Source organism: Homo sapiens, chromosome X (genome assembly GCF_000001405.40).
Source record: "Homo sapiens chromosome X, GRCh38.p14 Primary Assembly".
NCBI lineage: Eukaryota > Metazoa > Chordata > Mammalia > Primates > Hominidae > Homo > Homo sapiens.
In genome coordinates, this window is record NC_000023.11 from 101,268,219 (window position 1) to 101,293,083 (window position 24,865).

The following is a 24,865-nucleotide window of genomic DNA, read 5'->3' on the forward strand; positions in this document are numbered from 1 at the left end:
CATCATGGGGGATGGTTTAATAAATTGACAACAATCCATTTAAAATGAACAATTTATTTATTGCTTAAAGAACATAGACCATAAAACACTAATAATATACCTAGAAAAAAACCCAAACAAGATTGTTAAAGAAGTCTTCATAGGCATTATGGCATCTTGTTCTTCCTAACCTTAACTGATGAGGGTTAGGAGGAGAAGGCTCAGAATAAGGATAACAGTTCATAATTTCTTCATCTCTGCTCTAACTGTTCCCTTAGTTGGTGAATAACAACCAGCTCCATCCTAAAAACAACAGAACATAAGCAGCAGCAAGGAATCATCCTTGAGCAGGAATGCAGTCCTGTTACCTGAACAGAGACAGAACACAATCTAGTATTAACTGCTGCAAGGTAGGCACTTAAACTCACTATGGCAGGTCCTAGTGCTTAGTAGAAATGACCTCGTTTTTTCCCCTATGTTTTAGGAAATACTAAAAACCAAAAGAAAAGCTAAAACATATGCAAACCAAACAGCTGTACGGCCTCTAGGCTAGACTGCCTTTAGAAGCATGGCTGAATAATCTGCTGGTACCATAGCACAGAAGCAATATAATCAATTCTTGTTTGGTGTGGTGGTGCACAACTGTAGTCCCAGCTACTCAGGAGGCTGAGGCGGAAGGATCCCTTAAGCCCAGGAGTCTGAATTCAGCCTGGGCAACATAACAAGACCCCATTTCTAAATTAATAATAATAATTCCCAAATTGACAAAGAGAAAGTCTCATGGTCGAGTGGGGTCTTTAAGTCTACTACATTTTTATACTGGCCTTTTCTACATGACTACAAACTGTGAGCATATTTTAAGTAGCAAAGAAGGTACAGATAAATATAACTGATTCAACATAAGGCAACTGAAGGGACAAAAACGTGCACAGTTTCATCCAATCTGCAGTCTGGATGGTGAATCCAAGGTTTGTGGGCCACGCCAATGGCTCTCCTCACTTCTTCAGAAAACGCTGCAACTGTTCCTGTAGGGAAATGAGCTGTAGGGAGAGGTAGAAAGACATGAAAAATTCATTTGAAATTTGAGGTCCCATTACTTGATCTAGAATTTACTTAAATGAACCAAAAAGAACTACTGTTATTTGGCATTTATAAGGTTATCTTAGTCTTGCAATGTTCCAGAGAATACTGGCCACAGTCAAGAATGCATGCATACTGCTGTGGCCATGATGATGTCCTTTATTATGCCCAATTTATGAAGAGAAGCTTTGTATTAGTCAGTTTTCACACTGCTGATAAAGATATACCTGAGTTTGGGAAGAAAAAGAGGTTTAATGGACTTACAGTTCCACATAGCTGGAGGCCTCACAATCATGGTGGAAGGCAAGGAGGAGCAAGTCATATCTTACATGGATGGCAGCAGGCAAAGAGAGGAGAACTTATGCAGGGAAACTCCCCTTTTTAAAACCATCAGATCTCGTGAGACTTATTCACTATCACGAGAACAGCATGGGAAAGACCTGCCCCCATGATTCAATTACCTCCCACCAGGTGCCTCCCACAACACGTGGGAATTAAAGATGAGATTTGGGTGGGGACACAGACAAACCATATCAAGCTTTAAAATTGAATAGGCTTTAAAAAAAAACAATATTTTTGCTGTTAAGAATTTGTGCTTCTGTGAAGAATATACAGAGGTCACAGCTCACTGTAGGGGCAAAGGAGATGGGATCTCTGTAGCCATATTCTAAGAGTCAGATGATAAAACAGTTGGGACACTCTCTTGTCCCAATGAACACAATGGGTCTTAGACTGAGTCTTACCAGCTGCTTCTTACCACATTAGGAGATACTTAGAAACTGAGCCAGAGCCCTGACCAATCAGGAGCCTGATGATGTTCTACTTAATGCTTTCTAAGTTAGAAGCCCTGAACATTTTGTGGTATAGGATTTACTTTTTTTTAACTTGAAATGGTAAAGTGACCAATAACATTCAGAGATGTATGCCATCTTTACAACAAAGGTTGTTTTTGAATATTATTCATTTCAGGACACTCCATACCAGAATGAATTTTTAGTCTGTGAAATGAAAGGAACATTATAAAACAATCCTATGCTGCACATCACCTACCAAGCCACAATAATTGCTGTCCGCAGTAACTTAGAGGCTCTTCTCACTCAGTTGCTGAGTGACCCCTGATTGACCATGATTACAACCACTGACTGATCCAGTTCTTTCTCCTTTGCAGGCTCTTTCTCTTCCCACCACCCCCTATAGATAGGTTTTTCCTTAGGTTCAGACTTCTTGCTGAACAATCAACCAGGCTAACTCAACTAGCCCCACAGCTTCAATGATCATTTCTGTGTATGGGCCTCTCTCCAATTTCCCATTTTCAAAAGCACTTCTCCACATACCCCTCCAAATCCACTTTTTGTTATCCTATTTTCAGTTAATGGCACATCATTTCCCAGTTTCCCAGGCTTTGGACTCATCTTTGTTCCCCTTTTTGCCCTGTAAATCCAATCAATTGTTAAGCTCTGTTTGCTTCTACCACTTGCACCTTTGAAGCTCCAGGCTGTCCCCACTCCAATTTCTCCTATATACTTCTGGCAGAAAAATCTTCCTGAGTTATTCCCCAGGTAAAAAGGCTTTGAAGGTTCATTATGACCTACACCAAAAATCTAAACTGTTCACCCTGGCATCACCACCTCTGAGCCAGTGTGCATGCTGCTTTCTCATGGAATGCACTCCTTTCCCTATCTCCTTATTAAAACCCTACCTATATTTTAAGGCCCCAGTCAAACACCATCTTCTCCATGAAGTCTTCTTTAATATCCATGGACAATCTGTCATTCCTTTAAGTCCCTACCCCTCTTGCCAATTTCTCCCCAAATGAAGACAGAGACTACATCATAAGCATATCATAGCTCCCTGTAGAGCCTAGCTTAAAGTAGACACCTACTAAATCTAATTTGGATAAATGAACTAACATAAGGGACTCTGAGTAAATAAAGTTTACAGCTACATTTCTATGCTGCTCCTCAATACTAAATATAGTCATGTGTTACTTAACAATGGGGATATGTTCTAAGAAATGCATCCTTAGGCAATTTTGTCATGACGCGAACATGATAGAACATACTTACACCAACCTAGATAGTATAGCTTACTACACACCTAGGCTACATAGTATAGTCTATCGTTCCTAGGTTACAAACCTGTACAGCATATTACTGTACTGAATACTGTAGGCAATTGTAGCACAATGTTAAGTATTTGTGTATCTAAACATAGAAAAGGTAAACTAAAAATACAATATAAAAAATTAAAAATGGTACACTTATATAGGGCACTTACTATGAATAGAGCTTGCAGGACTAGAAGTTGCTGTGGGTGAGTCAGTGAGTGAGTGGTGAGTGAATGTGAAGGCCTAGGACATTACTATGCACTACTGAAGACTATATAAACACTATATACTTAGGCTATAGTAAAATAATTTAAAAATTAAGTAATTCTGCTGCTATGTTATGATGGCCACAGTGTCACCAGGTGACAGGAATTTCTTAGCTCCATTATAATCTTATGGGACTACCATCATATATGCAGTCTGTCATTGGCCAAAATGTTGTTATGCAGCATACAACTGTACTTACATTGATGAAAACAAAGATGTTTGGTGGGTACTAAAACAATCCTGGCATTAACTGTTCATCTGATTGTTTTAAAGCAGTATTAAGCAGTACTTGGATAAGTGATTTGCTGAGAGGAAGGGAATATATAGAACATAAAAATTCCGCTAGCCTTGTGGGGATGGGGGTGGGGAGTAGTGCCTGTACTTCAAGAGCACCATGCTAAGCCCATCCTCATAATACCAACTCCAGTCTCTTTAAAATTGTAACCCTCAACAGTATAAGGTTAGAGTCAGCACACATTTTCTATACAGCTGCTTGACCCTCATTTAGCCTATATTGCCTTCTTCTCTCTTCGCCCTGTACACTCTCTTGTGGCTTTGAAAAATACAGTTGTCGTTCAAGTTAGAAATACATACATCCTTAATGATTCCTTCTCCTTCAACACCCAGTAATTGACCCAACTCCTGTCAATTCTACCTTTAAAGTATATTCTCTAATATATCAATATTCATTGCAGCATTATTCATAATAGCCAAAAGTGAAAGCAACCCAAATGTCCATCAGCAGATGAATGAATAAACAAAATGTGGTATATTGATCCAATGGAGTATTAGTCAGTTTTAAATGGAAAAAAGTACTGATACATGCCATAACATGGATGAACCCTGAAAATATGCTAAATGAGAGGAGCCCGACTCAAAACACCATGTATTATATGATTTCACTTGTATGAAATAACTAGAATAGGCAGTAGATTAGTAGAAACTAGATGAGTGGTTGCCTAGTGCTGGGCAGGGGAGAGGTTCTGGAGAAGTGGGGAGTGACTACTAATGGATACAGGGTTTCTTTTTGGAGTGATGAAACTATTCTAAAATTGACTGCAGTGGTGGTTGTACAACTCTGAATATGCTAAAAGCCACTGAATTGTATAGTTTAAATGGGTGACTTGTCGGGGGTGGGGAGGACGGGGTTTGAGGCAGTCTCACTCTGTCACCCAGGCTGGAGTGCAGTGGTGGGATCTCTGCTCACTGCAACCTCTGCCTCCCAGGCTCAAGCAATCCTCCCACCTCAGCCTCCCGAGCAGCTGGGACTACAGGCATACACCACCATGCCTGGCTAATTTTTGGAGAGACGGGGTTTCACCATGTTGCCCAGGCTGGTCTCGAACTCCTGGGCTGAAGCCATCTGCCCACTTTGGCCTCCCAAAGCGCTAGGATTACAGGCACGCACCACCGCACCCAGCCTAAATGGGTGATATTGTATGGTTTATGAATTACATCTGTTATAAAAACATTTTTATTGCAGTTTAAAAATCTATATTCTTTCAATCTCCATTGCTACTAACTTAGTCCAAGTTACCATCCTCTGTTATTAGAGTACCACAAAGCCCCCCAACCAGCCTCTTTGCTTCTACTCTCACCTTCTTCCAACCCATTCTCCAGATAATAATCAGAGTAACCTTTTAAAAGTTTAAATTAGGCCAGACGTGGTGGCTCACGCCTGTAATCCCAGCACTTTGGGAGGCCAAGGCAGGTGGATCACGAGGTCAGGAGATCAAGACCATCCTCGCTAACACGGTGAAACCCTGTCTCTACTAAAAATACAAAAAATTAGCCGGGCATGGTGGCACGTGCCTGTAGTCCCAGTTACTTGGGAGGCTGAGGGAGGACAATCTCTTGAACCCGAGAGGCGGATGTTGCAGTGAGCCTAGATTGTGCCACTGCACTCCAGCCTGGGCGACAGAGCAAGACTCCATTTAAAAAAAAAAAAGTTTAAATTAGATGTGATTTTCCTATCTACAATTCTTCAAGGACTTCACATTACACTTAAGGCCAAACCCATCCTCCTTATCATGGCCTTCAAGGAACCATACACTATGGTCTCTGCCTACTTCTCCAACCTTATCTTAAGCCATTCTCTTCCTGGCTTTAAATACTCCAAAGGTCCTCAAAGAAGCCAAGTTCTTTCTGAGCATGAGACCTTGCATACGCTCCACCTAAGAGGCTCCTCATCCCACTCTTTGCCTGGACTTAATCCTTCCGGTCTCAGCTTCAATAGCACCTCCTAGGAGAGGTCTATCATGATCCCCCAATTAATTCAAGACCCTTTATTCTAATAGCACCACTGACTTTTTTCCTTCATAGCACTTCTTCACAATTTGTAACTTTATATTTGTATAATTTGTTTATTGTCAATCTCCCCTGCTAGACAGCTCCACGAGGATAAGTACAGCAGGTCCTTGAATAACATCGTTTTGTCCAATGTCGTTTTGTTACAGTAAGTCCTCACTTAATGTCATCAATAGGTTCTTAGAAACTGCAACTTTAAGCAAAATGACATGCAAAAGGTCTCCAAATAACATTGTTAGTTCAATGTCATTTCATTATAATTTTTTTTTTTTTTGAGACAGGGGCTCACTTTGTTGCCCAAGCTGGAGTGCAGTGGTGTGATCATGGCTCACTGCAGCCTCAACCTCCTGGGCTCAAGCAATCCTCCCACCTTAGCGTCCTGAGTAGCTGAGACTACAGGCTTATGCCACCACAACCGGCTAATTTTTTGTACAGTCAGCGTTTCACCATGTTGCTCAGATTGGTCTCAAACTCCTGAGCTAAAGCAATCCTCTCGCGTCGGCCTCCCAAAATACTGGGGTTACATGCATGAGCCACCACTCCTGGCCTCATTATAATGTTGATGAGAAAAATAAAATCACTTCCCTGTACACATTAGGTGAATTGGTTTGTCTGAATTGTCCCAGTCTGAGTGAGTGTGGGTGTGAGTGTGGGTGTGAGTGTGCCCTGCAATGGGATGCCATCCTATCCAAGGCTGGTTCCTACCTTGTGCCCTGAGCTGCTGGGATAGGCTCTGGCCATCTGAGACCCTGAACTGGAATCACTGGGTACATAATTGTCTTACTTGTTTTTATCAGTCTTTCTCAAATGTATGTATAGCTCACATTTATTTCAACGTTTAATTATTAGAAGCGTTTTGGTTTTTATTTAGAAGTTTGGTGATGTTTTTGTGACCAGAAATATGCTATAGGAACTTAATTCTTCTTTATATCAATTAGCCTATAGTAAAATTGGTTTCATTATATATACATTATTTTGCTTAAAGTTACAGTTTCCAAGAACCTATCAATGACACTGAGGATTTACTGTATTGCATTTGTCTTATTCAACACCGTACATCCAGTGCTTTTCACTTCATAGGCATTCAATATCTGTTGAATGAGTGAATTTTCACAAAGACCTTGTTCCACCCTGCTACCTTCATTTAGAAGATTTGGCTACCACTATTCCTATGAGAGGAACAGCCAGCAATGATATTGGAATTGAAGTGGGGGATTCTCTGTATCAAATGTTTTCTGGTTAATTTGAAAACATACTTCTTACCTTCTCATTTTTTTGTTTTTCCTGTAACTCAAGCTGCTCCAGCACAGACTGAAAATGATTCTGAAAAATAAATTGTATAAATGATGAACACTGAGTCTCAAAGAAAAAAAAAAAAACCAAGGGAGGCAAGGAGTTTGGCAAATAATTGTTTTTGTTTTTGTTTTTGAGGCGGAATCTTCCTCTGTCACCCAGGCTGGAGTGCAGTGGCGCAATCTTGGCTCATGCAACCTCCGCCTCCCAGGCTCAAGTGATTCTCATGTCTCAGCCTCCTGGGTAGCTGGGATTACAGGAGCATGCCACCAGGCCTGGCTAATTTTTGTATTTTTAGTAGAGATGAGGTTTCATCTCTACTAAAAGATCCCTTACTCAGGGATCATTTACTGTGATCCCTGGCAAGTTACTTAACCTCTTTGAGTTTCCATTCTTTATCTATAAAATGGGAGTGGTGACAGTATTTACGTTTCAAGGATGTGAGGATAAAATGTGATAATATGTGTACACAATTCTTAGCCCTTTATGTGCCTTTTACATAGCAAATGCTCAATATTGGCAATTTTTATCTCATATCACCTAGTCCCTTCCCCAAAATGCTTATATTAGATGATCAAAATTACTCAGGTAAAAGGAAACAGGGTTATCTTTTATTAGGAGTTTCTAAGAGGCTGTTTAGGTTCATGAATGAACAAGAACCCTGCACAGAGATAACATAAGTGGAAACACAAAGGCAAGATACTGAAAGTAAGATATCAGGATTTCTTTATGCCAGCCAAGAATTTACCTTGAGTGTCAGGTTTTCCACTTTCATGATGAGATCCTTCTGTCTTTGTGCTTTATTCTGAATCTTATGGAGCTTTTTCTCCTTTTTCTCAATCTGCTTCTGAATTTCCATGACTAATAGAGAAACATAGAACTTTATATATTAAATATAGCCTAAATGAATGGACCAAGATCCAAATCAAGTAAAACTCTACTACACATCGAAGCGATAACTTCTTGAGCTTAGCTTTGAGTCTAATGTATGCTTAGAGTCAACTGTTAGCACTGCCACCCACCCTGGTCCCATCCCTTTGTTTTTTCTGACTTACCTATTGAACTGGTACCTTCATTTGCCCTATACTGGCCAGATTCAATAAACTCGGCCTGCAGCTGCCTTTCCAGATACTCTTCAGAACAATCTTCCTCCTCCTCTTCTTTGTCTTCATCTTCATCCTCATCCTCATCCTCATCCTCATCTTCATCATCCTCATCCTCATCATCATCATTGTTACTTCTAGAATCACTGAACATCTCCCGAAGCATATCATATTCTACTAGTTTTAAGCAAGAAGAAGGTGAACTATCTAAAACTCTGCAAATGACTCATACTCCAGATATAATTATACTCCTTTCACATTCCCCAGGCAACCAGTGAATTTTATAAATCATTTTTTCATGCAGGAAGATTATTCCCTTTATAAAACAAGGACAGCAAATGCAAAACACTGTAACATTCATTCATGTAGTGAATGATCAAGATATTTAGAGACTCTAAGGGTCATAGGAAGTTAAAATACCAGGGGTGGATGGGAGATTAGAACACTAATCTAAAACCCCTAAACTGCCAAGAGACCAATAAGAGGGAAGAAGGGCTGGGTGTGGTGGCTCATGCCTGTAATCCCAGCACTTTGGGAGGCCAACGCGGGCAGAACACTTGAAGCCAGGAGTTGGAGACCAGCCTGGCCAACATGGCAAAACCCCATCTCTACTTACAAAAAAAAAAAAAAGAAAAGAAAAAAGAAAAATTAGCTTGGTGTGGTGGTACATGCCTGTAATCCCAGCTACTTGGGAGGCTGAGGCACAAGAACTACTTGAACCTGGGAGGCAGAGGTTGCAGTGAGCCGAGATCGCACCACTACACTCCAGTTTGGGCGACAGAGCGAGACTCTGTCTCAAAAAAAAAAAAAAAAAAAAAAAAAGGCCAGGCACAGTGGCTCATGCCTGTAATTCAAGCACTTTGGGAGGCCGAGGCAGGCAGATCACTTGAGGTCTGGAATTCAAGACCAGCCTGGCCAACATGGTGAAACCCCGACGCTAGTAAAAAATTAGCTGGGCATGGTGGTGAACACCTGTAATCCCAGCTACCTGGGAGGCCGAGGCAGGAGAATCACTTGAACTCATGAGGCAGAGGTTGTAGTGAGCCGAGATCACGCCACTGCACTCCAGCCTGGGCGACAGAGCAAGACTCCATCTCAAAAAAAAAAAAAAAAAAAGAGGGAAGGACGAAACCATCCTTTTTTTCTGGGTTTTTTTTTTTTTGGATTGGCCTATGAATTTATGGAAAATGATCTGATACCCAGTCAATACCTGCCCTATCTGAAACTCCTGCTTTGCCTTTACTAAAGTACCTGACGAGGTATGACCCTGCTTGTGGCTGCTCATTCCCGAGGATATCAAAAATCCTGGGATGGAGCCTTGACTTTCTATTTCCTTGGTTCCATCTTCAGCAATGACTTCCCAACCTGAAAGGAGTGGGTAGTCAAGGAAAACACAGAAGGAAACAAAAAGGCACAGCTGAAAGGGAAGGGGCTCTTTGGCTAACAGTGCTATTTAATTTAGTCCAACTTTAGGCCATTTGTATTGGAATTCCTAGTTTGGAGAAGTGCCTCATATTGAATTACACAATAAATAATTTTCTATTACATGAATTTACTGTTCCTAGCTAGAACATTTCAAAGAATCTTAAGTTCCACACATCAAGACTGGCACACAAACACCAGAGGTGAGGCTTCGTCAGCATGTACAAATGGGGCAGAACAGACTATGCAGAAAATATTTGTATAAAGGATACGGGTACTTACGGCTTCAGCATCCGAACGCAGCAGTCTCTTTACTTCATTTTCCACGTCTGGAGATTCAATGTACTGAAGCAAAGTTGGGGATTAGAGGGGGATACCAATACTGTCATTTAACACCCTGTGTGTTGCAGGAGTGCCCTCCTACGTACCAACGAATTCAAATGTTAGGCCTCTTTAAATTCTGATCCAACCAAATTTCTACTTTAAGTAGTGCTATTTATAAAGGAATCTTTAGCCAGGGTCTAGAATTTTGTACAGTAAACTTACTTTTTTCCTAATTAAACAAATTACTTGAGACATTTAATCTTTTCAATCTGCAGCTCTATGGTAAAGCCCTCTCTCAGAGGTGCAACCCTTAGGTCTCAGTTATAAATTATTTCTCCTGATTTATATTGGCAAAGAACTATAATTCCTTATTAGTTATTTAGAAATAATTTGGTTTAAAGATCCAAATTCCCAGATTTCACTTCCCCACATCTTTATTATTAGAGACGTTCCTATAAAAACTGGATCTTAGCTGCATGTTCTCCCTTGAATCCAGTTTTACATAATTATCTCCACAGCAACCAATTTGTTGTGCCACAAATAGAAATTAGGATTTTGATGGGGAATAAGCAATTGCAAACAACTGCTGTTAAAAGTGAGCTCTGGCTCCCAAGGAATGGCTTTTGAAATAAATATCAGAATAAAAAGAGCAGATTAGAATACACGGGGTCACTGGCCAAATTGTATCTTTTCCTCTAGCAGTTATCAAACATCAAACAATGAATTCATTTTTTAGTGAATCAAACCCAGTGTATGTGTTTAGGATGAGGGTTAGAGGTGAGAAGGAAGGCTCAAAAGTAGCTTCTGTGGTTTATTTGATTCATTTGAAACTAATGAGCTATTAAATAAAACACATTAAGGGTAAAAATGAAGTTATATTATGATTGCTCTACCTCAGTAAAGCTGCTTTTTTCCATTTCTTTGACATCAGGGACCTATGAAATAAAACACAATAAACAAGTTATATTATGATACCTATATTTCAGTAAAGCTTAAAGAGCTCTACAACTATCCTTAACTTAGTTTTACATTTAGTAGGCACTCAATAAATGTTGATTTACAGAGTATAAAAGCCAAGGCAACTGTGTTCATGGATTGGAAGACTCAATATAGTAAAAATGTCAGTTCTCCCCAAATTGATCTACAAGTTTAATGTAATTCCTGCCAAAATTCTAGCAAGGTTTTCTATAGCTATAGACAAGCTTATTCTAAAATTTATATTAAAAGATACAGGCTTTTGGCCAGGCGTGGTGGCTCATGCCTGTAATCTCAGCACTTTGGGAGGCCAAGGCGGGCGGATCACGTGAGGTCAGGAGTTCGAGACCAGCCTGGCCAACATGGTGAAACCCGTCTCTACTAAAAATACAAAAATTAGCCGGGCATGGTGGCCCATGCCTGTAATCCTGGCTACTTGGGAGGCTGAGGCATGAGAGTCGCTTGAACCCGGGAGGCAGAGACTGCAGTGAGCAGAGATCGTGCCATTGCACTCCAGCCTGGGCAACAGAGCGAGACTCCATCTCAAAAAATAAATAAATAAATAAATAAATAAAGATATGGACTCTAGAATGGCTAAACAATATTGACAAAGAAAAGTAAAGTCAGAGCAATCAGCCTTCTAATTTCAGGACCAATTATATAGCGACACTGTGATATTGGTGGAGGGATTGACAGATGGATCAGTGGAGGAGAATGGAGAACCCAGAAACAGACCCATAAAACCAAGCCCAACTGATATTTCACAAAGGTGCAAAAGCAATACAACAGAGGAAGAATAGCCTTTTCAACAAATAGTGCGAGAGCAATTAGACATCCTTTGGCAAGAAAAGCAAAAACAAACAAACAAACAAAAACAAAACAACAACAACAACAAAAAAAAAACCTTGAACTAAACCTCATAGCTTTTACAAAAATTAAGTCGAAAATGGGCATCAGGCTTAAAAAGATGTAAAAAAAAAAAAAAAGCAGGAGAAAATCTTCAGGATCTGGGCTAGGCAAAGAGTTCTTAGATTTACTATAAAAAGCAAGATCGTTTTCAAAAAAATCAATATATTGTACTTCATCAAAACTAAAAACTTTTGCTCTCTGAAAGACCCTACGAAGAGGATGGAAAGACAAGCTACAGACTGGGAGAATATATTTGCAAACTACATATCTGATAAAACACTGGTAGTATTTAAAATATAAAAAGAACTCTCAAAATTCAATAATAAAAAATCAATTTAGAAAATAGGCAAAAGGCATGAGCAGACATTTCGCTGAAGTGGAATAGATGGCACATGAGATGCTCAACCCCGTTAACCATCAGGGAAATGTAAATTAATACTACAATGGGATCACTATGCACCTATCAGAATGGCTAAAATGAAAAATAGTGACAACACCTAATGCTGGTGAGGAGGTGGAGAAACTGGATCATTCATACATTATTGGCAGGAATATAAAATGGTACAGTCACTCTGGAAAACAGGTCATTTCTTACAAAACTAAACATGTGACTACCATATGACCCAGCAATTATACTCCTGGACATTTATTCCAAAGAAATGAATACTTATATTCACACAAAAACCTGTTCACAGCTTTATTTATAATAGTCAAAACCTGTAAACAACCCAGATGTCCTTCAAAGGGAGAACAGTTATGTAATGTGGTACATTCATACCATGGAATACTACTCAGCAATAAAAAATAAACTATTGATGCTACAAAAACTTATATGGATCTTAAGTGAATTATGCTGAATGAAAAAATAAGCTAGTCTCTGATGTTATATACTATATAATTCCATTAATATTAAATTTTTGAAATGACAAAATTACAGAGATAGAGATCAGATTAGTGATTACCAAGTGTCAGAGACTGGGGTGTGAGGTGGAAGGGAAGTGGGCATGGTTATATAAAAGCAAAATGAGGGATCCTTGTGATGAAACTGTTTTGTATTTTGACTGTGTAGACAGATACATGAACTTACACATGGGATAAAACTGCATAGAACTAAACACATGCACAAAAATACACGAGTACAAGTAAAACTGGAGAAATTGGAATAAGATTGCAGAATTCTAATCATGTCAATTACCTGTTTGTGGTATTGTACTATAGTTTTGCAAAATGGGGAAAATGGCGAAAGGGTACACGATATCTCTCTTTTATTTCTTACAACTGTATATGAATTTACAATTATTTCAAAATAACATGTTTAATTTTAAACAAAAGAAGAAGCCAAGCCACAATACTCCTGTAGTTTGCCCAAGATTCTACAAGCCTGAAATAACATTAGGAATATAACCACAATTCCCAATTTTCAGGTTCTGGATGGGTTCACTTTAAAACTAGATCTTGCAATAGAAAACTGAAAGCATTAACAGAAGTTTCAAATGTATGATTCTTCCAGACCCCAAATGACTAGCCTATAACCTCAAGGATCAGGTCTTTTTATTCACTGCTATATTCCCTACTGCTAGCATACAGTGCCTGGCATTTAGTTCACATTCAATAAATGTTTATTGAACATATAAATGAATTAAAAATTAATTCCCAACTGACTTTTTCTCTTTTCTTCTGGCCCATGATCCTCTTCTAATCGGCCCGGCAGACACACAAATAGCATGTAACTAACCTTTTTTTGTGTTTTCCGGAACCTTTTCTTTCTGACATTCTTAAGTGGTGGCGTAACTAAAATAAATACAACACAGTGAAACGTTATATGACTGATGGTAGTCACATAGCTGAATTTGATAAAGACAAAGATCATGCTATAAACCAAAGGGTCATGACATCACTCCTTTTTTTTTTTTTTTTTTGAGATCGAGTCCCACTCTGTTGCCCAGGCTGGAGTGCAGTGGTGCGAGCTCAGCTTACTGCAACCACCTCCTCCTAGGTTCAAGCGATTCTCCTGCCTCAGCCTCCCGAGTAGCTGGGATTACAGGTGCCCGCCACCACACCCAACTAATTTTTGTATTTTTAGTAAAGACAGAGTTTCACCATGTTGGCCAAGCTGGTCTCGAACTCCTGACCTCAGGTGATCCACCCGCCTCGGCCTCCCAAAGTGCTGGGATTACAAGCGTGAGCCACCGCGCCCAGCTGACGTGACTCCTCTTAAAGAGTATCTGAGAACCTAATGAACCAAACACCTAAGTGTGGTAAGACGTCCCTGTTTCACAAGGAATTAGGATTCAGCAAATAAATTTTAGTCAGCAGGAATGAGCAAGGGGCTGGTGACTTACTGCCATGCTTCCAGACACATTTTTCTTCTCTCCCCCTTTCTTTTTTCCTGACTATATTAGGATCAGTAGAGGCAGCTGGTTCTTCTGGAGAAAGGTGGATATCACCATCAGCAGTGCACACAAGCATCTACATTTAACAAAGACAAAGAAGTTGACTATGACCACGAATTTTGGGTTAGCAATCATAATCATTCTTACCACTAGAAATGCACAGAAGAGACTGATACTTGCCATTTCCAGAAAACCAAGTATTTTGTAATGTACATTTATATTCTCTCATTTTTGCAGTCTCTCTCTCTCCCTCTCCTCCCCACCACCAGCCACCAGCAGCACTACATATGAACTCTGAAGGTGCTTTGTTTTGTTTTTTTTTTTCCACGAGAGTGTTTACCACTACAGAGGGAATATATTGGAAACAGATCTTGGAACTTAGCTTAGGTTTTTTGTTTTGTTTTTAGACAAAGTCTTGCTCTGTCATACAGGCTGGAGTGCAGTGGTACGTGATCATGGCTCACTGCACCCTCGACCTCCTGGGCTCAAGTGATCCTCCCACCTCAATCTCTAGAATAGCTGGGACTACAGGTGTGTGCCACCACACCTGGCTAATCTTGTTTTTGTAGAGATGAGGTCTCACTATGTTGCCCAGGTTGGTCTCAAACTCCTGGGCTCAGGTGATCCTCCCACCTCAGCCTCCCAAAGTGTAGGGATTATAGGCATGAGCCATTGTGTCTGGCCTATCTCAGCATTTTGATTTAGAGAGGAAATAAGAAATCAACAGCAGAGATGATGAATAAGAACCAATTTAAACCTCCAGAGTTAACAACATACTGTTTTAATACAAAGTTCAGAAGATCCCAGCAGCTCATATGTTTCAATTAATGAAAAGTCACTATAAGTGGCAAATGGGACTCTCTATAGGCTATTTGGTCAAAATACAATACTGAAAGCTAAGGATCAAACACCAAACGAGAACATGACATTTCATTCCTGTGCAGTCAATCTGGAAATTAGAAATGCCAAGCAGCCATTCACCAAGTGGAAAGGAGTACTGAAAGAAAGAAAAATAGGAAGAGAAAAGAATTCCTTGAAGGATGTGAGGCTAGTAAAGAAAACTAGTCCATACCTGAGAAATGTCTGCTGTTTTATAAAAGGTTTTTTTATCAAGCGTTCTCAGGCTTTCAATAACACAAGGCAAGTCAACCAGCTTAGCAGCTAGTGGGACATCTTCTACTTCAACAACTGCATGGCGCCCATCAGCTGAAGAGAAGTAAAGATTAAAGTTGATATCTTCCCAGTGAACTCTTAAACTTCCTAAGGTTTGAATAATGAAGACTTATGTGGGACAGATTAGTCTTTCCAAGAAACCTACTATCTCTCATAATGCTAGAATTGTGTACACAATTAATAGCTTCCTAAAGAAAAGAAATGGAAAGTATATGGAGCTCTTTTTTCCTAGTTTACGTCACTTGTGCAAAAGTAGCTAAGTTTCTTGTTAATGGATGTGAACTAAATATAGGTGAAGTAATAAATGTTTCATTCTCATCCTGAAAAGCAAATTCCATTCATTAAAACCAATTCCTTTTTTTTTTTTTTTAGAAGCATTCAATCGTGTCATTGTACATGTGTGTTTTCAAAGGGCTGGGTGAGGGAAGGGTTGACTGACCCTAGAATGGTGCTAATAAATCTCAAGTTAAATCTCTAATTAGCTTCATAAAGATAAAATTCTATACAACAGCCATATACTAAACTCTGAATATTGCTGCTCAGATGTCCCAAACATAAATGTCTTTTGACACAAGAGGATTCAGGTATAATCTTCTAGTATTATGTGAAAAAAGAAAGATACAAAACAATGTTTATCATTTTGTGTGAATTAACTCTAAAAATAGAGAGATTGCTTCAATTCTAGTATTATGCATAAGAGTTTTGTCAATAAGGAAGTAACAAGAAACAGTATCAGTTATCTGTGGTATTGAGGTTGGGGCACCATAAGGAAGAAGAGTTTTATTTCTCCTTTCGAACTTTTCTTTTTCATTTGATTTTTTTATTTTTCTTTGAGAAGGAGTCTCACTCTGTCACCCAGGCTGGAGTGCAGTGGCATAATCTCTGCTCACTGCAATCTCCGCCCCCTGGGTTCAAGCAATTATCATGCCTCAGCCTCCCAAATAGCTAGGATTACAGGTGTGCACCACCATGCCCGGCTAATTTTTGCATTTTTAGTAGAGACGGGGTTTCGCCATGTTGGCCAGGCTGGTCTGGAACTCCTGACCTCAAGTGATCCGCCCGCCTCAGCCTCCCAAAGAGCTGGGATTACAGGCATGAGCCATCACACCCAGCCTGTTTTATTTGAATTTTCTAACTATGAACTTATATTATCTTTTTTAAAAAATGTCAGTAAGTGTTAACTAACTGGTGAGATTATGAGCCACTTTTTGTTTTCTCCTTTATATGCTTCTCTGTATTAAAAAAAAAAACTAGCAAAATTTATTTATTTTTGGTTGTGTGTTTTTTAGGCAGATAAACTTGTGTGGAAACATTTATTTATTTATTTACTTATTTACTTATTTATTTACACATGCTCTTGGTGCAAATGGCCTCTAGATTCATCCATGGTGTCCCAAATGACAGAATTTTGTTCTTTTTAAAAGGCTGAGTAGTATAGCATTGTGTATACGTATCACATTTACACTTAGGTTGATTCCATATCTTGGCTATTGTGAATAATGCTACAATGAATATGGGAGTGCAGAGAGATATGCCTTCAACATGTTGATATCAATTCCTTCTGTGAATATATTCACAGAAGTGGGGTTGCTGGATCACATGGTTGTTCTATTTTTAGTTTTCTGAGGAACCTCCATACCATTTAAAAAAAATAATGGCTGTAGGCCAGGCACAGTAGCTCACGCCTGTAATCCCAGCACTTTGGGAGGCTGAGGTGGGTGGATCACTCGAGGTCAGGAGTTCAAGACCAGCCTGGTCAACATGGTGAAACCCCATCTCTACCAAAAATACAAAAAAATTAGCCAGGTGTGGTGGCGCATGCCTGTAGTCCCAGCTACTCGGAAGGCTGAGGCAGGAGAATTGCTTGAACCCAGGAGGTGGAGGTTCCAGTGAGCCAAGATCGCGCCACTGCACTCCAGCCTGGGTGACACAGCAAGACTCCATCTCAAAAAAAAAAAAAAAAAAAAAAGGCTGTATTAATTTACATTACCACCAATAGGGTACAAAGTTTCCCTTTTCTCCTCATCCTCATTAACAGTTGTTATTGTTCTTTTTTTTTTTTTAATAAAAGCCATTCTAACAGGTATGAGGTGATATCTCGCTGTTGTTTTAATTTGCATTCCCCTAATGATTAGTGATGCTGAGCATTTTTTCATGAACCTTTTGGCTACTTGTATGTCTTCTTTTGAGAAATATCTGTTCAGATCCTTTGCCCATTTTAAAATCAGGTTATTTGTTTTCTTGCTATTGAGTTGTTTGAGTTCCTTATATATTTGGATATTAACCACTTTATTGGATGTACAATTTGCCAATATAACAAATATTATTTAAAAGAAAAATATATGTCACTGGCCAGGCACGGTGGCTCACGCCTGTAATCCCAGCACTTTGGGAGGCCAAGGCAGGCGGATCACAAGGTCAGGAGTTTGAGACTAGCCTGACCAACATGGTGAAACCACGTCTCTACTAAAAATACAAAACTTAGCCGGGCATGGTGGCATGTGCCTGTAATCCCAGCTACTTGGGAGGCTGAGGCAGAAGAATCACTTGAACCCAGGAGGTAGAGGTTGCAGTGAACCAAGATTGCGCCACTGCACTCCAGCCTGGGCGACAGAGCGAGACTCCATCTCAAAAAAAAAAAAAAAGAAAGAAAGAAAGAAAGAAAGAAAGAAATACATGTCACCTTTATAAACAAAGAATGGCATATCCATTTGTCATTCCCTTGGATGTTCAGAAATCATAAAGTTTATATATGGGAGGCTACCAGCAGTATAAAAACCCCACAGTTGACCCCCAAGTTTCCTTAAACACACTATGATAATCACTCAACTCAAGGTGCAATATTCCTACTTCCTTTCCTCTTAAAAGAAGAGGACTTAAGCCTCTCTAAAGCATGAGTCCATCAAGTCAGAGACCATATTCTATCATTTTTCACATCCTTAGTACCAAGTACAGTGTATGGCACATAGCAATCCCTTAATAAATTATTGTTCAATGTATAGTGAATGGATATTAACTACTTACGCAATAAGTCAATTTTTAGTTTATCCTTCATCTTGACACTTTGAGAACGTGCTAGGTTCCTGACAGTACAAGCATGTTCCTAAAAAGGAGGTAAATTGAAAAATCAGAAGAACTAAACATCTACTTGGCAGCTAACAGAATAGATATATCAAAGAAAGCCCTCCCTTAAATAAAACTTTACACCTCCCAAATGTTACTAACAAGACCATGTACCATGAGATACTGTGCACTGTATAAGTCAAGTTAGGATGAAGCTGACTCTAAACTCATAATTGTCTCTTAGTAGCTACAGTTAATGCTTTCTCCTAGCTCTACAATCCTGCCTCTCACTGCTACCCTTCTGTTGTAGTTGCTAAAGAAAGGCTTACCTAGTTGCAGTTTGCTTGGTATATTAAGTAACCCTAATTAGGGAAATAGGTTTCTGAACCCCATCCTTAATATAGCTGCCTAGACTAAGTAATTGCTTGAATACAGGTATCAGTGTGGGGGAAGAGAGCCAAATACTTGTTGAGATGAGCTTTAAAAGTCTTGCATGGTGGTGAATAATGCTGGCCCTTCTCACTGCCCCTTTTGAGGTGACAGAAAGGATTTCAGAGGAGCCGTATCTTGGCTGTCCAGGGAACAGGCTGTTAGTATTGGTGGTAAGTGAATGGGTCCATCATTGTCACAGCTGTTTTGCCAGGAAATCAACCTGCATGATAGGTGGTATTGTACAGGAGGAAAAAATGCTGCCAAAAAAGTACACGCTATGATAGGACTGCTTAACAGAACATGATTCCTGGGAAACAAATGTTCTGAGTTTTTATAGCCTACCTGAAATAGAAATGTCAGAATCCAAGTAGAACTATAATTATAATTAAACTATAATTATGAAGATATTTGTTCTGAGATACAAGTTCTTACCAGAGGCAGACGCAATATAAACTGGTTCTCAACTTCATCAGGAACTTCATCCTGGCTTTCACTCATGTCTTGATTTTGAGTTCATGAAAGCAAAAAGAAAACCATCACTAAAAACTCCTCTTGCTCCCTCTCCTGACCACTTCTGGTAGTACTGGCTAAATTATACAAGATCTTGCCCATAATCCTCACTAGAATGATGTGTGTACAGTTAGACAATACCTTATTTGACATAACTTAATTATTTCTAGACGTTACCTTAGCTCCTCTCCAATATGTGTAGATTTTCCAAAGTCAATCCAAATTACATGATGTAATTTGATGAACAAATGAAATAAGAGCTGTTATGAAACATGATTTCGTCTTCTTAATCATATTCTTAGACTCTCAGGTAAAAGACTACAATTCAACAACACGTTGGTGGCTACCTAAGCAAACTAACCTCTGTAGGGAAGAATGCAAACCAAAAGCTGAAATTCGCCTAGAAACCACTTGCATAAATGTTCTGTGATGATTTGAAGTAAACAAGGGCTTGATTTTCAATATTTCACCTACATTAATGGATTAGTAGAAATTAAGCAGTCCATGGGAGACCAGGCAGTTTTTTATGACTCTAGAGCCAGCAACAACAGCTTTGAGCTACCCTGGGGAAAAGTTAGGAGTCCAGTTCTTTTTTTTTTTTTTCAAGACAGAGTCTCGCTCTGTCGCCCAGGCTGGAGTGCAGTGGTGCGATCTCGGCTCACTGCAACCTCCGCCTCCCAGGTTCAAGCCATTCTCCTGCCTCAGTCTCCCAAGTAGTTGGGACTACAGGCATGCACCACCACACCTGGCTAATTTTTGTATTTTTTAGTAGAGACAGGATTTCACCATGTCGGCTAGGCTGGTCTTAAGCTCCTGACCCCAAGTGATCCGCCCACCTCAGCCTCCCAAAGTGCTGGGATTACAGGCCTGAGCCACCGCGCCCAGCATGGAATCCAGTTCTTTTTTTTTTTTTGAGACGGAGTCTCTTTTTTTTTTCTTTTTGAGATGGAGTTTTATGGAGAACATAAAATCTGATTTGATTTATTCGTTACTACCCTTTCATTCATTACTACCCTTTATTGTGTGCATTCTGTATGCCCAGTACTACATTGAGTGCATTAGGTCTATCATTTCATATAATCCTCACAATCACCACTTACTTCGAATGCCCCCAAAAGCTATTTAAAAGAACTCCTAAGATGGATCTTTTTATTTAAAATATATATATATACCTTTGGTGAAGTGAATACTTTCTTCCAAGTTAATCTTTTTTTGACAAATTATAATCATATATAATTATGGGGTACACAATGATGTTATGATATAGTGTGAAATGACTGAATCAATCTAATGAGCACATCCATCACCTTAAATACTTATCAGTTATTCCCCCTAACTGCAACTTTCATTTTTTTTAATTTTAAAAGCCAAATTTGGAAGTGGGAGATTGTATACCAACTTTAGTGGCATTAATGTTAATAAGTTGTGATAATATCCCACTACTATTGGACCAGCCTAACTGAAATTTTCTGTTCTTTGATCAACATCTCCTCAATGCCCCTCCCGCTACTCCAGCCTGTAATAACCAACACTACTCTCTGCTTCTATGAGTTCAATTATTTTAGATTCCACATATAAGTGAGAATATGTGATTTTTGTCTTTTTCTGCCTGGCTTATTTCACTTAATATAATATCCTCCAGATTCATCCACGTTGTTGCAAATGACAGAATTTCCTTCTTTTTAAAGGCTGAATAGTATTCAGCTGGGTACACATACCACATATTTATCCATTCACTTGTTGGATACCTAGATTGATTTCATAACTTAGCTATTGTAATGCTGCAGTGAACATGTGTGTGCGGATATTTCTTTGACACACTGATCTCAAGTTTTTAGGATATACATCTAGACGTGGGATTGCTGGATCCCAAGTTTTTATTTTATTATTTTTTATTGTTTTCATTATTTGTTTTTCAATTTTATGTTCTTACAATGAACCAAGACTTTATTTCTAATCTTATTTTCCATGTATTTGGGATGTATTTGTAGAGCCCTGCATTTTGGGTATTAGGGCCCACACTTTTGTTTTGTTTTGTTTTGAGACAGAGTTTTGCTCTTGTTGACCCCAGGCTGGAGTGCAATGGCACGCATCTCAGCTCACTGCAACCTCTGCTGCCCGGGTTCAAGTGATTCTCCCATCTCAGCCTCCTGAGTAGCTGGCATTACAGGTACCTGCCACCACACCCGGCTAAATTTTTTTTTTGTATATTTAGTAGAGACAGGGTTTCACCATGTTGGCCAGGCTGGTCTCGAGCTCCTGACCTCAGGTGATCCACCCGCCTTGGCCTCCCAAAGTGTTGGGATTGTGGGCATGAGCCACTGTGCCCAGCCAGGCCCACACTTCTGAGGAAGATTTTTCTCAAAGGTGGAAAGACAGCTGGGCGCTGTGGCTCACACCTGTAATCTCAGCACTTTGGGAGGCTGAGGCAGGTGGATCACCTGAGGTCAGGAGTTCCAGACCAGCCTGGCCAACATAGTGAAACCCCATCTCTACTAAAGATACAAAAATTAGCTGTATCTTTACAGCTAGTTGGGAGGCTGAGGCAGGAGAATTGCTTGAACCCAGGAGATGGAGGCTGCAATGAGCCGAGATGGCGCCACTGCACTCCAGCTTGGGTGACAGAGTGAGACTCCTTCTCAAAAACAAAACAAAACAAAACAAAACAAAAAAAGTCAGCAGTAGAAAAGCAGACACCCAGGATGGGAGAGGGAAAGATGCATTATTTGTGATTGTAATTTCTTCTCTTCTTGTTTCATACAGATATATATGTATATATATGCATATATAAATACAAAAGAGAAATGTAAATGCAAGAAGAGAGTTGATCGAAATAAATAAAAAATCTGGGGGCTGAGCACATTCCCTAACAGAACATAGTAACAATTAAGGCTGGGAGCAGGAACAGATTATTTGAAGAACTAGCTGCTAAGCAAGATTTTATCAGATCAGTAGTAACTTTTAGATTTCTCAGCAGAACTAAAACTGGGGCATTTTGTTCATTTCCAAGCCTTTTTGGTAATTCCTCTTTTATGGAAGAAAGAATGTAAGAACTGAAACTATTTCAATGTATTTGTTTGATAAACAGACCTAATAAAAAGTCTGGTGGGAGAAAAGTTAGACAATCCTGGTTGAACTGGGTTTTAATTATTTTTTAAATTTACTTGCATTTACCTAAAAGACTAGTTGTACGGTATTCACTTTAAGAAAAAGCATCCACTTTTTTCCAGCAAGCACTCTTTGATGCCTGATTAAATTAACAGGACCCCTTACTACCATTCACCTCTAGTTCCATCTCGCTTTAGCAGAATTACAATTGGAATTATAATTGGCTGGAGGGCGCCTGGCAGCATGCTCCAGGCCATGCAAGTCAGTACACGCCTAAATGGGTGTTTTTTCAAGTTCGCAGTCTCCGGCTGCAGTTTAAGAGACTGACCTCCATCCTTATCCCCGGGGCACTAAGCTTTCAAAGAGAAAGTTTGACCCCTAGGCTTTGATCCACTTTCCCTTGAAAACTTCTCGCGAGGCCCAACAGGTCGCAACGGGTCCCAGCCTTCGCGCCTCGCTGTGCAGGCTGGCTGGGGAGGGCTGCGGGGTGCACCGCGGCGGGGTGCACACTGGCGGGGCGCTGACCCGGTCCCGGCCGCCCGGTCGGCCGCCCGACTCACCCGCTCCTCCGGGAACTGGCGCCGACACCGAAAAGGCTGGGACCTGCGTCTCTGGTCTGTGGGTTCCGGACGAACCGCGCGTGGGCTCCCGCGCGGAACGTAGAGGCGAACGCTGGGCTGCCGGCGCCTGGACAGTAAAAGCGGCGCGCGCCGGCCCCTCCCCGCCTCGCCACGCCTCCGCGGCCGCGCTGCCCAGCGGACTGGAGCACGACTTCGAGGCAGTGGCCCGCTCACCGCGTGCTGGGCGGGAAGGCTCGAAAGGCGCGGAGCGCCGAGGGGAGCGCCGAGGGGAGGGCTGAGGGGGACGCGACTGCTCAGGGACCTCGCGAAGCAAGACCGAGGCTTCAAAACAAGTTACCTTGGCCAGGCGCGGTGGCTCACGACTGTAATCCCAGTACTTTGGGAGGCCAAGGCGGGCAGATCTCAAGGTCAAAAGATCGAGACCATCCTGGCCAACATGATGAAACCCCCGTCTCTACTAAAAATACAAAAATTAGCTGGGCGTGGTTGCGCGCGCCTGTAGTCCCAGCTGCTCAGTAGGCTGAGGCAGGAGAATCGCTTGAACCCGGGAGGTGGAGATTGCAGTGAGCCGAGATTGCGCCACTGCACTCCAGCCTGGCGACAGAGTGAGACTCTGTCCGAAAAAAAAAAAATTACCTTTACACAGGGGCAACCTTCAGGGCGCCAGAAGATTTTTACCAGGGGACAGTGATACTCCTAAGAGGCGAGTTGGGCCGGGCGCGGTGGCTCACGCCTGTAATCCCAGCACTTTGGGAGGCCGAGTCGGGTGGATCACCTGAGGTCAGGAGTTCGAGATCAGCCTGGCCAACATGTTGAAACCCCGTCTCTACTAAAAATACAAAAAATTAGCCGGGCGTAGTGGCGGGCGCCTGTAGTCCCAGCTACTCGGGAGGCTGAGGCAGGAGAATGGCGTGAACCCGGGAGGCGGAGCTTGCAGTGAGCCGAGATCCCGCCACTGCACTCCAGCCTGGGCGACAGAGCGAGACTCCGTCTCAAAAAAAAAAAAATAAATAAAAAAAATAAATAAAAATAATAATAATAATAATTAGCCAGGCATGATGGCAGGCGCCTGTAATCTCAGCTACTTGGGCAGCTGAGGCAGGAGAATCTCTTGAACCCAGGAGGTGGAGGTTATAGTGAGCCGAGATCGTGCCACTGCACTCCAGCCTGGGCAACAAGAGCGAAACTCCGTCAAAAAAAAAAAAAAAAAAAAAAAGCGAGTTGCTCGCTTTTGGTTGCTCCTCGACTCCATTAGGTCGGACGGTTTGTCCCTAGGCACGGTGACCTCGCCTAGTGACAAACACGCCACCGTGCAAACCCACTGAACAACTAGAATCTGTGCCCAAAGCCCTCTAACACGATCGGTTGCTCCCCTCTCCTCAACAGAGTCAACATTTTACATCCTCTGGAGAGGGACACAGGTTACGTCGCCCATTGCTCCTCAAGGGGGCCGCAATTCAAACAAATTTTGAATCGAACTAAAAGCAGTTTGTTTCTCCGAAAGAAGGTCCTCGGCTGGGGGAACAAGCTTAAAAAACCACCTACCTTTCCCTTCCTGGAAGTTTTCTGGGGCCTGGGCAGCAGCCTGGGCGCTGCTGTCCGCATCCGTTTGAGTGTCCTCGTCGGCAGGAATCTGGGTGCCTTCGTCGCCAGCAATGTCGGCGCTGCTTTCATAGGTGGTTTCAGACCCACGGTCGACAAGAATTTGGGGTTCTTGTTGGCTAGTTACTTCCGATGTTGAAACTGTTGGTGTTGAATCATTTTCTGAAGAAATGGGGAGCTGTCCCTCGGGGCACTCCATGGCCCACCTCGTTGGGGTTGTAAAATGGCTTCCTGTGT

At 41.0% G+C, this 24,865-nt stretch overlaps 1 protein-coding gene across 5 annotated transcripts; it reads right to left on the minus strand.

Moving 5' to 3' along the window:
- On the minus strand, window positions 39–24,865 carry TAF7L (TATA-box binding protein associated factor 7 like). Of its 5 annotated transcripts, none has more exons than NM_024885.4 (13): window positions 24,572–24,865; window positions 19,260–19,327; window positions 18,357–18,435; window positions 15,232–15,365; window positions 14,109–14,235; window positions 13,502–13,557; window positions 10,776–10,817; window positions 9,831–9,903; window positions 9,388–9,501; window positions 8,089–8,310; window positions 7,782–7,894; window positions 7,004–7,063; window positions 39–1,019 (listed from the first exon to the last, which is right to left on the minus strand). In NM_024885.4, the coding sequence occupies exons 1-13, from the start codon at window positions 24,825–24,827 to the stop codon at window positions 975–977; spliced, it is 1,389 nt and encodes a 462-aa protein (NP_079161.3). In that variant the 5' UTR covers window positions 24,828–24,865; the 3' UTR covers window positions 39–974. The 5 variants fall into 5 exon arrangements, with proteins under 5 accessions (NP_079161.3, XP_006724727.1, NP_001161946.1 ...); XM_006724664.2 differs by having other exon boundaries at window positions 8,089–8,313; NM_001168474.2 differs by lacking the exon at window positions 24,572–24,865 and adding an exon at window positions 23,006–23,116.